Source organism: Homo sapiens, chromosome 9 (genome assembly GCF_000001405.40).
Source record: "Homo sapiens chromosome 9, GRCh38.p14 Primary Assembly".
In the NCBI taxonomy this organism is placed as follows: Eukaryota; Metazoa; Chordata; class Mammalia; order Primates; family Hominidae; genus Homo; species Homo sapiens.
Window position 1 is genome coordinate 121,338,864 of NC_000009.12, and position 16,879 is coordinate 121,355,742.

General features: G+C 40.0%; 1 protein-coding gene across 5 annotated transcripts in view, besides 1 other annotated feature; it reads right to left on the reverse strand.

Moving 5' to 3' along the window:
* Positions 1 to 123: 123 nt before the first annotated feature.
* Positions 124 to 16,879, reverse strand: part of STOM (stomatin) — a 31,264-nt gene continuing 14,508 nt past the window's right edge. For 2 of the 5 annotated variants that reach the window (NR_073037.2, NM_004099.6), the window contains 5 exons: positions 15,738 to 15,810; positions 14,357 to 14,439; positions 10,257 to 10,460; positions 9,152 to 9,286; positions 124 to 2,545 (listed from right to left, as the gene is read on the reverse strand). Coding sequence is in view for 4 of the 5 variants with exons in the window: in NM_004099.6 (NP_004090.4) it covers positions 2,339 to 2,545; positions 9,152 to 9,286; positions 10,257 to 10,460; positions 14,357 to 14,439; positions 15,738 to 15,810 (702 nt within the window). In the remaining variant the exon portion in view is untranslated. The remainder of the gene's footprint in view (positions 2,546 to 9,151; positions 9,287 to 10,256; positions 10,461 to 14,356; positions 14,440 to 15,737; positions 15,811 to 16,879) is intronic. The other 3 variants (NM_001270526.2, NM_001270527.2, NM_198194.3) reach the window with 3 other exon arrangements.
* Positions 15,140 to 15,359: an enhancer, noted in NCBI's record as "active region_28922". NCBI's record gives its function as "activates an Ori minimal core promoter by ATAC-STARR-seq in GM12878 lymphoblastoid cells {active_cell/tissue: GM12878}" and the evidence as "EXISTENCE:reporter gene assay evidence [ECO:0000049][PMID:35858748]".

The window sequence follows — 16,879 nt, forward strand, 5'->3', positions numbered from 1 at the left end:
CCAGGGAAAATGTGTGGGCCAGTGCACCAGAGGGTGCCTGGACCTGGGAGACAGCAGATGGCCCACAGCAGCCTGTCCCCTTCCCCTGGCCCACAAAGCACACGAAGAAGCCAACCAGCCAGCTCAGAACCGGAGGATCTAATGTACTACTTCTGAAAACGGAAATCCACAGACATTCAATACAGGCCGAAACAGACTCTCACCCCAAAAATATTAGTGAAAGTGCATACACTTTATTATGTACATTGTTGGAAAGGGAGGCCACCTGGAGAAACTTCTGCACTGGCACTGTGTTCCTAGAGCTCCTTCTATGCGTCCCTCCCAAGTGATTTAATTTCAGCTGATTGGACTACGAATTCACAAGGCAGAAAAGTCAAGGTCATTTGGTATCTGGAGACAGGAGAACTCAAGGAACCAAAAGCACTGTTACTCTAAGTCTCAGAAAAGGTTTTCAGTCAGGATATGGAGGCTCCTGGTCCTCAAGGGTGAACCACTTCACACAACAGATAAAACCATCATTTTAAAATTCAAAATGTAAGTGCAACTTGAGTTTAAGTTGCACTGCTCCATACCTCTAATAAACTCAGCTAGGAGCCAGGATACATGGTAGTTCAAGGCTTCCTAAAATAAGCTTGAAATTGGGGTACAGGGGAAGGGACATCCATTGGCTGGATGGACAGAGTGGTTGAGCTAAAGAGAGCTATAAAGGCTCGTGCTGGGAAAGAAAGCTGTTATGCTTAGACTTCTCTAGGTGAACTCAGAGTCTCAAAGAGGAAATGTTACAAATGTCACCCGCCAGCTTTCTGGCCAGTAAGCAGAATGCCAGGTTGCTCAGATTCACAGACATTTGCAAAACAGAAGATGTCTCCTAATATTATAGACTAAGAATTTGTTGTCCAGAGGAGCTGACCAGTTCCTCTTTCAGCATCAATATACATGATAGAAGAATGACTAGGTAAATTTAAAAAGACCTACATCTATATAGATATTGTAAGTTTGACAGTATCTGCCCAAGATCATTAGACACTATATAGTCAATATACTGTGAATTCCTTATACTATGTAATGAATGGGTTTGTAATCAACATATTTCACAGTGTACCACAGTTAACAGCATGCAGATAGTAAAATATAATGGTTTCCTGAAGTTATCTCTTAAAAAAGTATTTTAGTCCTTCAGCTATTCAAATAGATATATAACAATTGCATATAGAACGTAGAGAAAATTTTATTAAAAAATTAAAACTATTTAAAACCTGATATATGAAAATAGGCAACAGTGAGAAAAAAGCACTTTTGTGACAAATATTTAGCTGGTTTGAAAGACAGAACAAGGAGGAATCATTTACTCATAAAGAAGGCTCAAATAAGTTAAAACATGGATGTATTTTTAAAATGACCACTCTAGTAGTGAATTTAAAAGTCTTTTAAGGGTTAGAGTAATCTTTTTCATTAGTCTTGGCTATTTCCTCTAGTTCTGACAAGTACAGGCAAGAAAATGGCTACTCTCAAGTAAGGATTATTCTGAAACACGGTCTGGATTTAGAAAATAAATGAACATTAGGGAAATTTCCTTAATTAAGACTCTCCAAACCAGGTGTGGTAGCTCATGCCTGTAATCCCAGCACTTTGGGAGGCAGAGGTGGGTGGATCACCTGAGGTTAGGAGTTCGTGACTAGCCTGGCCAACATGGTGAAACCCCGTCTCTACTAAAAAACAATAATAATAATACAAAAATTAGCTGGGCATGGTGGCATGAGCCTGTAATCCCAGCTACTGGGGAGGCTGAGGCAGGAGAATCTCTTGAACCCAGGAGGCGGAGGTTGCAGTGAGCCGAGATCATGCTATTGCACTCCAGCCTGGGCAACAAGAGTGAAACTCCATCTCAGAAAAAAAAAAAAAAAGACTCTCTGGAGGTAAGGCACATATGACCTGGAGAAGCTGGTTGTGGTGTAAGGTCATCACTTTCTGCAAAGCATTTAGCCAGTCAGCGGTGTCAGGTGGCAGTTACAGCCCAGGTTCTTGCCTCTGGCCTGGGTGCTTAGGGGGTTCAGAATGAGTCAGTGGAAGTCAAAACAAGAGGGATCTAACCTACTACATAATAATCTAAAAATACAAACTTTTAACTATTTTAAGACTAACAGATTACCTTATATAAATCACCAATCTCTCAGTATTTACAAGCTAACAATTCTTTCACCTATTTTTATAACTGCTATACATTCTGGGAACACCACAATTGACATATGGAAAAAGAAAAGCCCTACCCTCTCTTTATGAGTTAAAGGCTAATTTGGTCCCCGACTTCATGCTTGGAAGGCTAGCGCTCATCTCTACACTAGCCTAGATGGCTGTGTTTTGCCCCTATGATTCCTTGCAGCATATCTATGGGCAGAGGGAAGACAATTGTTGAGTTTTTCTCAGCAGCAATGGTGGTCAGTGTCTGCAGGTATCGGAGCTGAAGGGCTGCAGGAGATTCAGTGATGACCATGGAGGCTTCTTTCAGAGCCCTGGATGCATTCATTTCTCCTTCGGCTGCAATAACCTATGGACAGGTGAAAGGAGGGGTTGAACTGGAGAAAACCTCATGGGGACACACAGCACTCTTCAACCGGGGGTATGTATACCTCAGGTGGTCCACAAAACTTTCTAGGGCGTATGCCAGAGTAGTTTTAAGAAAATCAATTTCTACATACTCAGTTTCCATATGCTTCTTTTTCTGAAACTGACTTGCCTGACTAGTGCCTGGATCAAGACATTCTCTTTTACTATAGCCTTTCTCCCATTTTCCAGGGTAACAAACAAAGGGATAATTCAAAATACTGTGCAGGATTGAGAAAGCAAGTAACTTTAATGACTGCAGGCAAATCCTTTTGCAAGTCAGCAGCATTTCCAATTCTCTGATGAGTACCTTACTAAACTGAAAGCTGACAGGTCATTATAAATATTTTTTGATGAAAGACTGTGATATGATTTTTTTAGCACATAAATTCAAAGTGCTAAGAACTGTATGATACTACTTTAAACAGAACTTCCATTTCCATCTACTTATTTATGTAAATAAGGTTTCAAAGTCCTTATAGCTATAAAAATGAAAAATAGGAATAAAATTGATGCTGAATCGTGTCTCATTCTAGCATTAAACAACAGCCATCTATACATGTACGATTTAATTCTCATTCATCTTATAAAGACAAGCATTTCTAGTAAAAATTGACTTCTGGTACTGGGTGCAGTGGCTCACACCTGTAATCCCAAAACTTTGGGAGGCCAAGGCGGGCAGATCACTTGAGGTCAGGAGTTCGAGACCAGCCTGGCCAACATGGCAAAACCCTATCTCTACTAAAAGTACAAAAATTAGCTGGGCGTTGTGGCAAGCACCTGTAAACCCAGCTACTTGGGAGGCTGAGACAGGAGAATTGCTCGAACCCGGGAGGTTGCAGTGAGCCGAGATCATGCCACTGCTGCACTCCAGCTTGGCTGACAGAATGAGAATCTGTCTCAAAAAAAAAAAAAAAAATTGACTTCTTATTTAGGAGAAATTCTGAAATGTTTGTAGAACCTTGTTTTTAGTTACAGGAAATTTTTAAAAATTAATTCTAACTTATGGACTAAATATGTTGCAGTATGTTAATAAAATAATTCATGACAAAATGTATGTTAGGAAAAGAATCTGGCGGAAGTGAAGATGCAATAAAAAACTTAGGTTTAAGAAGAAGAAGAAAAAAACAATAAAAAGCTCCTGACTGTTAAGAGTTTACTTACATATTTTTAATGGATAACTAAATCATTATTATTTCTCATTGGGTACATTTAAAAGAATGATGTTAACAGTTTTATTTAAAAATGTCAATATTTACAACATGCCAGGAATTATATTCTTGGCAAGTACATAAATTCAAGATGAAAAATTTTTACATGCCGATTTAAAATGTTTGATGGACTTTATAGTTTTTCTAAATTCTGTAAGGGGTTTCACAGGCAAAAAAGTTTGAAGATCACTCGAGTAGTAGACAGAACAGGAGTTCTGGAGTCAAATGGACTTGAGTTCAAATCCCAAATCTAACATTTACCAGCCGAATGTCCTCAGAGAGGTTACTGAACATCCTGAACCTCAGTTTCCCATTCTTAAAGCAGACTAACATGTACTTCAGAGGACCACTTGTGAGGAAGACAGAGAAAGTATATAAAGTGTTAAATGAATAAAGGGGGCTATTATAGAGGAATGGCAAGTGACAAGACCTGATTTTTGGGTCCAACTATGCTTTAATGCACAAAAGATTCAAGGTAGTTACTTTAATTCATAATCCTAGAAGAAGGAAAGGTATTAAGACACCATAATTATCAAGATTAAAAGTACAATTTCTCCAGGTTATTATCCTCACTTGAATCTTGAATAATTAATGGTCCATAATACTCCATGAATATCAGAATTGGAGGTGATGGTCTTATGCCCAGTGAGATTTCATTCACTCACACAGCAAAATTTGGGGGCCTTCTAGGGTTAATAAGCCCTGTGTAGGAAAAGCTAAGGATAGAGTGGAATCCCTAGCCTTCTTCAGCTCCTGGTCAGGTAGGGAAGGCAGACATGGAAGTAGATCATTTCATTCTAGTGTGATAAATGCTGACAGACATATGTACAAGGCACAGTGCAAGCAAACAGAAGAAAGCAACTTTTCCAGAGGGTGACGTGGTGAGGTTATAGAAGTTGAATATTAAATGATAAAATGTTTGCTGTTTAGAAAAAGATGAGGAAGAATATTTTGGGCAGAACACATGAAACGGTACTGAGGTATAAAAATGGTATATTCCAGAAAACTGTCAATGGCTGAATACTATGGCAGGAAGAGGGGAAAGGTGGGGGATGAATGGGGCCGGGTTCTGAAGGGCAGTGAGGGCCAGGGTGTTTGGTCTTCATTCTGTAGGCAATGGGAAGCTGCAGAATGATTTTAAGCAGGTAAGTAAACTCCATCAGATCTAGTTTGAAAAAGCTCTCTGACAGATGTCTGAGGTTAGAAGAGAAGGCAGTGAAAGCTGCTAGTGGAACTGCTTTAGAGTGGCCGGTGCGATTCATAGGTGGTGGGGACAGAGAATGAAATGGTTTGGGGAGCTATTCTCCCTCCCCGAAGGAGGGCGAATCAGTGGAATTTGGAGACTAGGTAGGAGGAGGAAAGGGGGACACAGGCTGAGACCCAGGTTTCCAGGTTTTGGTTGCATAGATTAGTGCCATTAATGGAGATAGGATACAGAATATAGTACTCACTGAGAGAAAGGATCCAGCTTATAGGATAAAAACCTTAATTTATCAAAGCCACACATCATGTCCTGCCTAGGTCTGTGAGAAGGGACAAGTGCCAGCTTTGCTCAAAGAAAACCACAGAACTGTATTCCAAGGTAGGCACTACAGAGAATACATCAGAAATCCCCTGCTATGAGAGCAGCAGGCTCTCATTTTTTCCATATCATCTCAGATGTCCAATTAGGCACTTTTTTCTTTGGACATGGACCAACTGAAAAGATATCTCATTTCCCACCACCAATCAATACACAATCGCTTGGCTGAGAAGCCAGACCCACCGGGCTGGGCACACATTTTGTTCATAGAAAAGCCACACTGAGCAAGCTGCCAAAGATGTAAACAACACCACCGGCTTTGTCTAAATACAGGCCAAGTACACTCCGTTGATAGGATCTTAGAGAGCAAAGCAAGCTATTTGTGGGTGTGCACGGCTTTTGTCGAATGTGCAGTAATCTCATAGCAATCAACATTTCATATTTATAGAACATCATTTTAAAGTCTGGCATTTTCATGTATGTGAAATTGGTGCTACCTGTCCCTTCTGCAGACCAGGTGGTCTGGGCAGAGGAAAAGGCAGAGAAAGGTGATCTGTATTTCTGCACTCCATCCTCTCAATTAATAGACTTCTACACCCAGAAACATGAGCCCAAAAGCATGTGCCAGGTGTTTTTCTGAGAGTTATGAAAAGGAAATAAAAGCTGATGCAAACACAAAAGATATTACATTTCAGGCCACTAAGAGCTGGTCTAAACACTTTAAAAACCAAACCTAACATACAGAGAAACACGTAGGAGAATCTGTCCTCTTCTGTGACCGGCTTCTTTCACTCAAATTATGTGTGTGAGCACTTACATTCATTCTCTTTGCTATGTAGTATGCCTACATGTGAATAAACCAGACTTCATTCATTCAGCTAGGAATGGACATTTGGGTATTCTACAGTTTGGGTCAATGTGCTGCTGTGAACATTCTAGTACATGCCTTTTGGTAAACATATGAGTGCATTTCTGTTAGATTCATACTTAGGAGTTGGAGCTGCTGGCTCATAGGGTATACAAATGTTCAGTATGAATAGACATTGCCAGACTGTTTTCCACAGTGGTTGTATTAAGTTACACTGCCACCAGCAGAATATGAGAGTTCTAGTTCCTCTCTCACCCACACTTGGTTCTTTTCCGTTCTTTTCAGGCCATTCTGATAGCTGTCTAGTGTGACATCCGCTTATAATGTGAATTTGCATTTCCCCGATGGCTAATTAGCCTAAGGAATTTTTCTATAAAGTCTCTTAATCTTTAGATTATTCCACTCTATCTCACCTTTCCTGTGCAATTTATTTGTTGAAGAAACTGTGACCCCCCTATTTTCCATGAGAATTTCAATACAATAAGCCTATGGTTGTTGCAGGGTTACTGTATTTTACAGAAGGGCTAGGCTCATTGTGATTCTATGTGTGAACTCCAAGACAGTCACTGCCCAGGTTCATGAGACTGCTTCTAGACTAACCCTACAGCCCCGTCCAAGTGGGAGCATGGCAATTCAGAATTCTAAGCGGTTTCTTCTATCTTTTCTTACTGTTATAAAGGGAAGATAGAAATTTTCTTTCCAAACTCTTAAGAATGCTATGGAAGAGGCTCATAGCCCATCCTGGGAAGTCAGTACTAGAGGAGGCAATGAGGAGCAGAGGGGAATTCTAATTTCCACTGCTACTAATCAACTGTGCGACCTTGCGGACGTCACTTAACTTTTCAGAGCTTCAATTTTTCCTTTGAATAGTGGGATGGCAAACAAGTTTCATTTTTTTTTAAGTTTTTATTATTATTAATTTTTTATTTAATTTAATTTTTTTGAGAAGAAGTCTTGCTCTGTCGCCTGGGCTGAAGTGCAGTGGCGCAATCTCAGCTCACTGCAACCTCCACCTCCAGGGTTCAAGCAATTCTCCTTCTCAGCCTCCCCAGTAGCTGGGATTACAGGCGCCTACCACCACACCAGGCTACTCTTTGTATTTTTAGTAAGGACGGGGTTTCACCATGGTGGCCAGGCTGGTCTTGAACTCCTCACCTCAGGTGATCCACCCACCTCAGCCTCCCAAAGTGCTGGGATTACAGACGTGAGCCACTGTGCTTGGCCTCAAGTTTTGTTTTTTAGAGCTAACTCTAAGCAGTTGAGGGTTGTTACCCAGAGTGCTATAGAAGGGTTCTGAGGCCAAGTCTAAGCTCAGAGGAAAACAGTGCTGTGGTTAATTACTAGCATGGGAATAGCAGGATGGAGTGCTAGCATCTGGGCTAAGTGTTTGCCACCTATGGAAGATAATCTCTGAGGATCCTTTGGGCTCTGACATTCTACGTAGTATATGTATGGTACATTCTACTATTCAATCTGGTTTGGAAATGAGGCTTTTGCCTAATAACATATTCTAGTTAAAAGCAATTCCTAATTTTCAAAATAAGGAGATGATAGGGCACATTTAATAACATCGTAAACATAATTTAATCTTCTAAACGTAACAGTTTTGAAAGAAAGCACTAGAGGGTTCTGTAGTACTACCAGGTTATCATCACAAAGCAACAATCATCATACCAGGAAAACCTAAACATTTTGGTTAATGCAAAATTCTGAAGTCGCATGTCAAATGAGCTACTATCCTATTTGATGCTGGCTAAGAAATTATAGTGACCAGTTTGTGGCTTAAAGGGCATCCTAAGAAAAGAACAGCGTTCTGTGGTCAGCCAGTGATGACCAGCTACTACTATTTTCTAACAACAAATTGGTTTGCTCCTTGTGTCTTGGGAGATTTGTCAAGTCCACAGCAACTCCTCCTATGAAAACTGCTCTTCTTCTTCAGCCCATTCACAGGCATAGGGCTGTGGAACCATATTATTATGCTATCTTTGCACTTTGACCAAAGTTGGACCAAAAAGACTGTCTCTTCTGTGAATGTGGAATTAGGGCTGGTCTGTGTTCTTTAGTGTTCACCTGGCAGACATCTAAACCTGGGAGCTAGACATTCTCCACCACAAGCTATCTACAGTGAGATGTGGCACAGGAAAGGGAATGACTAGTTCCCTGAACTGCCTTCTGGTTCCAATTTTGGTGAGACTTGCCCCTACTTCCTACCTTTGGGTTTGGTGAGATATCCCTGAAATTTTACACATTATCATCTTTAAAGATACTCTTTTCTAGGTTAGGTTAACAAATATTTCCTCAGTGCCTCCCAGAGGGGCCATGCCACCCATGCAGGGTTAAGACATAGGCAGATGATGATGAAAAGAAGGAAGAAAAAAGGCAGATGTCAAAGTAAGAGAATATAAACAAGAGGAAAAGAGAGAATGAGGAATAGGAAACAGTAAAAGGGAAAAAGAGCCTGAGAAAAGAAACAGAACAAAAAAGAAGCCAAAAATAAGTAAGAGATGGGTGGTATGGATGGAATGATGACCCACTTGCTCCGAAGTTGGAACTGTTAATTTGACCTTAATATGGAATCGGGAGAATAAGTATGGTACACACAGTCATAAAAGAATGAGGTAACTCTACATGTACTGATACGTCCATAGATATTAATATTAAATGAAAAAAGCAGAGCGCAGAACAACATGTGCAGTATAACCCTACTTTTGTAAAACAAACAAGCCAGTAATCCAAAAACCTGGTCAAATAAAATCCAAATACACTCAACTGTTAGGAGTGGTGACCTCTGGGGGAATATGATTTGAAGTTACGGGGAGGGTTTTCACTTCTAACTTTACCACTTCAAGATTATTTCAAGTTTTTACAGCAAGCATGTTTTACGTTTTTTTATAATTATTAATAAAAGAGAAAACTCAGTAAGAAAAACAAGTTTAAAAAAAAAGTTACCTTGGCGCGGGCCTCGCGGGACGCTTCTGCTTCTGCAGCCATAGCTCTCTGGAGCTGCACAGGTAGTTTCACATCCTTAATTTCCACACGCTCCACCTTTATTCCCCAGGCATCAGTGGCATCATCCAGAGTAGACTGTTAGGAAGAGAGAAGGCAAGCTAAATCTCCTCAGCCCAGCCCAGATGCTGACAGAGGCTGTATTCATTGGGATTTGGAGGAGATAAGGTGCTGGGGAGAGTTGTGGAGAGACAGTTACCCCACGGTGGAACGAATGGTGACGCAGGGGCTGGCTCACTGATCCTGATTCTGTTGCTAACAAGCTAATGCAGGGGTTAGCAGCTTCTTCTAAAAGGGCCATATAGTGATTGTTTATTTGTAGTCTCTGTCTCAACTATTTAACCCAGCTGTTGTAGTCAAAAGCAGCCATGGATAATATATAAATAAATGGCTGTGGCTATACTCCAGTCAAACTTTACTTACAAAAACTACAGCCTGTAGGCTACAGTTTGCCAACTCCTGAGCTAATGTGACTCTGTGTAAGTCATATTACTCCTTTGTGCTTCAACTTCCTCCCTTTAGAATGTCAGGAATGAAACCACACATCTATTTCATAGGTTGTTGTGCATATCAAATACAATCATAGATTTTACCCACGATGAAGTCTATACAAATAATAAGAATCCAGAGTTATAGCACTTTATCTTTTTTGAATAAGCTATGCTTAACTGAATATCTGTTACTCAAGAAAGACTGGAAAGCACAACAGTTATAATTCATGGGACTCACACACAGAATAAAGCTTTAGGAATACCTACACTATCTTGCAGAATAGCCTCTGTTCTAAACAAAAAGGTTATTACTGATTCTGGAAAAAAATACACACTGAAGAAAATTTTAAAAAAATGTACGCATGAGTGTTATGAACTCATGAACTGCTAATGTGAAAAATGTCCCCTCCTGCCAAATTTGAAAAATTTTACTATGAAGAAAAAAAAACGGTCACAGACCCCCACAACTTGAATTAATAAAAGGTTCTCAAACAACCATTGACTCTTTGCTTCATTTTTCAGCTTCTGGGGGGTAACAGCATTGACGTACTCCCCACCTGCATGTTGTGTGCAATTTCTTCTCTGTCAGAGAGGATCTGAGAAAGATTCTTGGTGCCCAGAACATTCCTCAGAGTAGTTTGTGCCAAAAGACGGGTTGCTGAGTCAGCGTTGGTGATATTTGCCACAGCCAGGGTTGCATTCTGAACGCGGTAATAGACCACACCATCCACGCTAATTGTCACTGAATCCTTTGTGAGGATCTACAAGATGAAGGAAGCAATTTTACATCTGTCAACGACTTTTTTTTAACATAACTGTAAGGAATGTTATTCTACAGAATATCTTATAACACTAGCTGATTTTCTTTAGTAAGGCATCAGAAAGTTAATTATATCTTTTAAAATTTAATAAAATAAATTATTCAAGTCCATTAATTCATTCAATCATACAAATAATATTGAGATATCACTCAACAGCAGGCACTGTACTAGGTACCAGGGATTAAGGTAGGAAAAAAACTTGGTTCCTCCTTTGAAGGAGGTTAGGGAATCAAAGGAAACTCTTAGGGGCAGCTGTGGGTGGCAGGGGTGATACCTGAATTGAATCTTGAAGAAAGGAATACAATTTTTCTGAGGGTGTTGGGTGGAGTGGAAGAATATTCAAGAGAGAGGCACTAGAGAGTCAAGGTTTGATAAACTACAAGTTCCACAATATTACTGGAACAAAAAGTGCATGGGGAATGTTTTTAAAGGGCAAGGTCAGCATCAAAACATATTTTACAGCATGCTACATAAAAATGCTAAACATGACATATTTTTGTTTTAAGCTAAGAAGTTATCTGAGTGAGAGGCTCCAGGAAAATAGTTACATCCATCACTTAAAACTCACTGGGACTCAGTTTTCTCATTTGTAAAGTAGAGATTAATTATAGTACCTACTTTGCATTCTTGCTAGAATTAATGCGTTAAATACATTCAAGTGCTCAGAAAAGTTCCTGGCACGTAAGAGCTGTCTTATTATTTCATCTTGGATAATGGTGGTAACTTTACTGAATAAAACACTGACTTGATTAACTGTAATAAGTTAATTTAGATAATAATAAACAAGCCAGCTGGGCATGATGGCATACACCTGTAGTTTCAGCCACTCAGGAGGCTGAGGCAGGAAGATTGCTCCAGCCTGGGAATTCCAGCCTCTCTCACTAACAACATCAGGCTGGCACCTTTCTACTGATCATTTAAATGTCCTTCTCTCTGTGAAACTTTCTTGGCTTACTTGGCAGAGTTAAGCACTCTTCCCTTGCACATCCACTGCACCTTACTGTAGTGACATTATTTATTCACATTTCTACTTCTCTCTTAGACTATGAATTTCTTCAGGGCAATTCTTTGTAACTCTAACACTGGCAGAGTGCTTGAAACATAGCGGGTAGTCAATAAATGAGAGAGGAGCTGAACTGAAATGTGGTCCTGAGAACAGTGACCGATGAGGAACACAGCAGTGAGAGTTAGGAGACCTGAACTGAGTCCCATCTCTGCCTTCAGGTCCCTGGATGGCCTCTAGCAAGGTTTTTAACCCATTTGACCAACAGATTCCTCATTTGTGAGATGGCGCTAATAATACTGCCTAATTCTATCCAAATTTCTGTGAAGATCAAATAAGAACATACTTGTGAATGAAGCCCTTTTGAAAGAGTAAACAGCTATGAAAATGGAAGGTAATAATAACAATGTTGTAACATGGCTGTTTAGCCCTGCCAGACATCAAAGCAGTGATCCTTTTTTAGTAATCTCAAAATACTTCTAACATGGAAGAGAAGTGGAGGATTTATAAATAAATGTACAGTGTATTACCATCTTGTATGAAAACTAATTATTTCCCATGACATGATGGGAAAATGTGTGTCATTCCCAAATTCTTGCCACTTTGACTTTGCCACAGCTTCTTTCTAAAGCTACAGCTTCTCTGCCTACTGTTTATCATCGGCAAGGGTTTATCTCCCTTCACAGAAACTTCACAGGGGATCAGAAAAAGGATTGCTGCCAAGTTCCAATCTGCTTTGCATTCAGCAGCTTGCAGAATAGGAGAGGGCCACTGGAAAGCAGAAGCTTAAACAGCAACTCTGCCAGATGTCTGTAATGTTTATAGTGGAAAATGCCAGAATGTCCAGCTACCCTGAAGGGCTCCTTCTGAGACTCAATCTTCCTTAGACGATGGGAAAACACACAGAGAATACAGTGATACTCTCAGTCTTGTTCTTATGAGTAAAATGTGGGCAAAATGATTCCTGGCATCACTAACTTTGGGTGGATTATAAAGTCTGACCCCACCCACTTCTTGGATCAGTACCAACAAGGAAGTTCCTAAGCTGGTTTCTGGTATTTGTGACATGAGAAGGCAACATGGCCAGGCTCCATCACCATGCTGAGTATCTGGCCTTTGGCCAGGAAACACTGACAGCATTCTTCTGTCCTTCCCCCTTCATGATGTTTTCAGGTTTTCTGTATGCAACGGTTATTAAGTCTCCTAAGGACATGGTTCCCAGGATGGCCATCACTTTTTCGGGGGCTATGAGGGAGCTCATGTACAATGCATTTAGCATGGAGCTGTGGAAAAAACAGCACTATACAAAGAATCCGAAGAGCTCAATTTTAGTCTTGGCTCTGCCACTGTAATCTGGAGGAATTCCTTTGTTTCACTGCAACTATATACTTTCTAGGGATTCTGCCATGAGTTTCATCTATGATAATACTTGTGAAGTAGTTTGAAAAGGCACAAAATAATCACTAGTATAAAATATTATGTTTTATCTAAAATGCCCAACAAGCAGTTTCTAATTCTTTGGTTTCTAACCAATTTATCTAGAATAAAACCTTAAGAAAAAAAATAATGAACTAATAGGGTTTTCTATCAGAAACCCATAGAAGAGAAATGTGGTAGTAAAAATGTTGATAGTAATAACAATGATGATATTATTATACTTACATTAGCATTACACTATGTTTTGTAATAATCATTCCTCGGTATCTGTGGGAGATTGATTCTAGGACCCTCAGAGGATACCAAAATCCAAGGATGCTCAAGTCTCTTATATACAGTGGCACAATATTTGCATATAACTTATGCACATCCTCCTTTATACATTAAATCCTTTCTGAAGTACTTATAATACTTAACACAATGTAAATACTACATAAATAGTTGCTATACTACACCGTTTTTAAAAATTTGTATTATTGTATCATTGTCAATTGCTTTTTTCCCTAAATATTTTTGATCCATGGAGCCAACCGTATAATCTATGTACATTTTCCTGTACACTTTAAATCATCTCTAGATTACTTCTATTATCCAATACAATACCTACACATCACTTTATTCATGTGGATTCAATGCCATGCTTGATGCATGGCAAATTCAAGTTTTGCTTTTTGGAACTTTGTGGAGTTTTTTCCTAATATTTTCAGTCTGCGGTTGGCTGAATCCCTGTATGCAAAACCCATGCATGCAAAGGGCCAACTGTAATAGTAACAGTAAGAACTTATATAGCACTTACTATTTGTCAGCCATTGCTCTAAGCACTTGGCACATATATCTCACTTCTCAGAACCACCTTATACAGTAGTTCTTACTATTACAAATGTCTATTTTCTGGATGAGGAAACTGAGGCACAGAAAAGTTAAAGAACTTGCTTAAGGTCACTGAGCTAGAAATGCTGAAGGCAGTCAAGGTCTAAAGCCTGTGCTCTGGCAGGGAACGGTGGCTCATGCCTGTAATCCCAGCACTTTAGGAGGCCAGAACGGATCACCTGAGGTCAGGAGTTCGAGACCAGCCTGGCCAACATGGCAAAATCCCGTGTCTACTAAAAATACAAAAAAATTAGCCGGGCGTGGTGGCGCACATCTATAGTCTCAGCTACTCGGGAGGCTGAGGCACGAGAATCACTTGAACCCAGGCGGCGGAGGTTGCAGTGAGCTGAGATCACACTACTGCACTTCAGCCTGGGTGACAGAGCAAGATTCCAATTAAAACAAACAAACAAACAAACAAAAATTTAAAATAAATAAATAAATAAAGCCTACACTCTAACTATTCTGTCCCTCATTGTAAAGCACTTTCACATATGATACCTCAGTTATTCAAAGAAAACCTTACCTCCTGAGGAGGAATATCAAATGAAATAGTTCTCATGTCCACTTTGATGAAGCTGTCAGTGCATGGCAGAATAAAAAACAAACCTGCAACAAAGATACACACATTATACAGACACCAGCAACCTAATCAGTTCACTTCTCCATTCAGTTTTAAGAAAATCAACCTAGTGAACTGAAAAGTCACCAGTTCATCTTCGTGAATGAGCCAGAAGCCAGGAATGATAACTTTGATTCCTCTTGCTTACTTCCCACATTTGACTGTCTCCACTAAGGTCTGTGGAGTTCATTTCCTTAATCTACTGTTGCTATCACTCTTCTCCCCACCGCCCCACTGGGACCAATGCAATCGTTTCCCAGGCCATCTTTCTATTTTTTGTAGTTTCTCTCCTATAATCTATTTCCTAAGCTGCAAGCCGAGCAATCCCCCCTAAAATACAAACCCTCCCCCACGCATGGTCCTGCATAACCCGCCTTTGTTCCCCTCTTCAGCCACTTCCTCTCTCTTCACACCCTGCACTCTTGCTGGACTGATCTACTTGCAGTTTCTTGAATCTGCAATACTCTCCTCTTTGTTGCTTTGTGTATGTTGCTATTTCCGCCGCAAACACCTCCTGTTGGTTAACACCTTTTCAGACCTCAAGACTCAGTCAAGATGTAACTTCCAGAAAGCCTTGACTCAGCCTACGACTAGTTCAGATCAGTAACACTTCTCTGGTTTTCTCTTTTCTCACAGCTCTCTGTGAGTACTTGATCATAATACTTATCACATAGGATTGTAGCTATCTGTTTCCTTGTTGGTTCCTACCACTAGATAGGAAGATCCTTGAGGGTAGGGACTGTGTTTTAGTCTCCCTTGAATTCCCAGAACCTGGAACACAGTAGGAGCTTAATTGAAGTTTGCCAAATGAATGACTGAAAGTCTTTCTTTGGTAGAGATTCTCATGCTCAAACTTGTATAGCTGTACTGTTCTTGGCCTAGGTGGTAATCTTATCAGCTCAAATGGGAAGGGGAGGGGAAGGGTAGGAAGGAAAGGGTAACAAAAGATTGGCTAGAACCACTGCTATTGTTATACAACTCCTGCTACATGAACTCTTATCTAAGACAGAGTAGAAGAGGCCCTCATAAGGGAAATCACGTCAATAAAAAAATTTTAGACTGGGCACGGTGGCTCACGTCTGTAATCCTAGTGCTTTGGGAAGCTGGGGTGGGATGATTGCTTGAGGTCAGGAGTTCAAGGCTGCAGTGAGACATGAGCATGCCACTGTACTCCAGCCTGGGCGACGGAATGAAACCCTGTCTTTAAAAAAACAACTACCTAAAAATAAAAAAAATAAAAAGAACTTTAGTTTTCAGATAAACAATCTAGAATCCCAGTACTGACCAGGTCCTTTGGCTCCTCCTTGTAAAATGCGACCCAATCTAAAGATGATGGCTCTTTCATACTCTTTTATAATCTAGAATAAAAACATGAATAATAATTTAACATGAAGAGTACAAATATATACATGCATGGCTTCTTAAATATATATTTCTGCTCTAAACAGATTAGATGCCTCATCTTTTTTCTTTAGAACCAGATCATATCTATAAATCACATGTCCAATGTTTACCTTCTCAAAGCTTATTTATTATTTTCTTACTGATTACAAAAGCAATAGATATTCACTGTATAAATTTAGGAAGGACAGAATAGTATACAGAAACAAATCCATAACCTCACTCCTCAGCTGTTAACATTGTTATTCAGTTACTCATGCAGGCCAGGCACGGTGGCTCACGCCTGTAATTTCAGCATTTTGGAAGGCCGAGGTGGGCAGATCACGGAGGTTAGGAGTTCAAGACCAGCCTGGCCAACATGGTGAAACCCTGTTTCTACTAAAAATACAAAAATTATCCGGGTATGGTGGTGGGTGCCTATAATCCAAGCTACAAGGGAGGATGAGACAGGAGAATCACTTGAACCGAGATCGCACCACTGCACTCCAGCCTGGGCCACAAGGTGACTCCGTCTCAAAAAAAAAAAAAAAAAAATAATAATAATAATAATAATCCCAGCTACACGGGAGGCTGAGGCAGAAGAATCGCTTGAACCTGGGAGGCGGAGGTTGCAGTGAGCCGAGATCGCGCCACTGCACTCCAGCCTGGGCGACAGAGCAAGGCTCTGGCTCAAAAAAAAAAAAAAAAATTACTCATGCATTGTTAATTCAGAAACACAAAAAGCTGAAGTCTTCACAGTTTTTCTTCTGATTCCCTTAAGAATAAATTGATCTGAAAATGCTTGGAGCATATTTTATCTTCTTAGAAATATGTAAATAATAGTCATATATCAAAGTATTAACAACTTTGTAGAAAAAATAACGAGCACTGAGGGTATTTATGACGTGCCAGGCATTGTGATAAGTACATTTAGACACATAATTCATTTAATCCTCGCAACACTCCTATGAAGTAGGTACTGTTACTTTCTCCCATTTTACAGGTGAGGAAACAGCAAAGGTCACACAATAAACAGTAAAGCCAGCA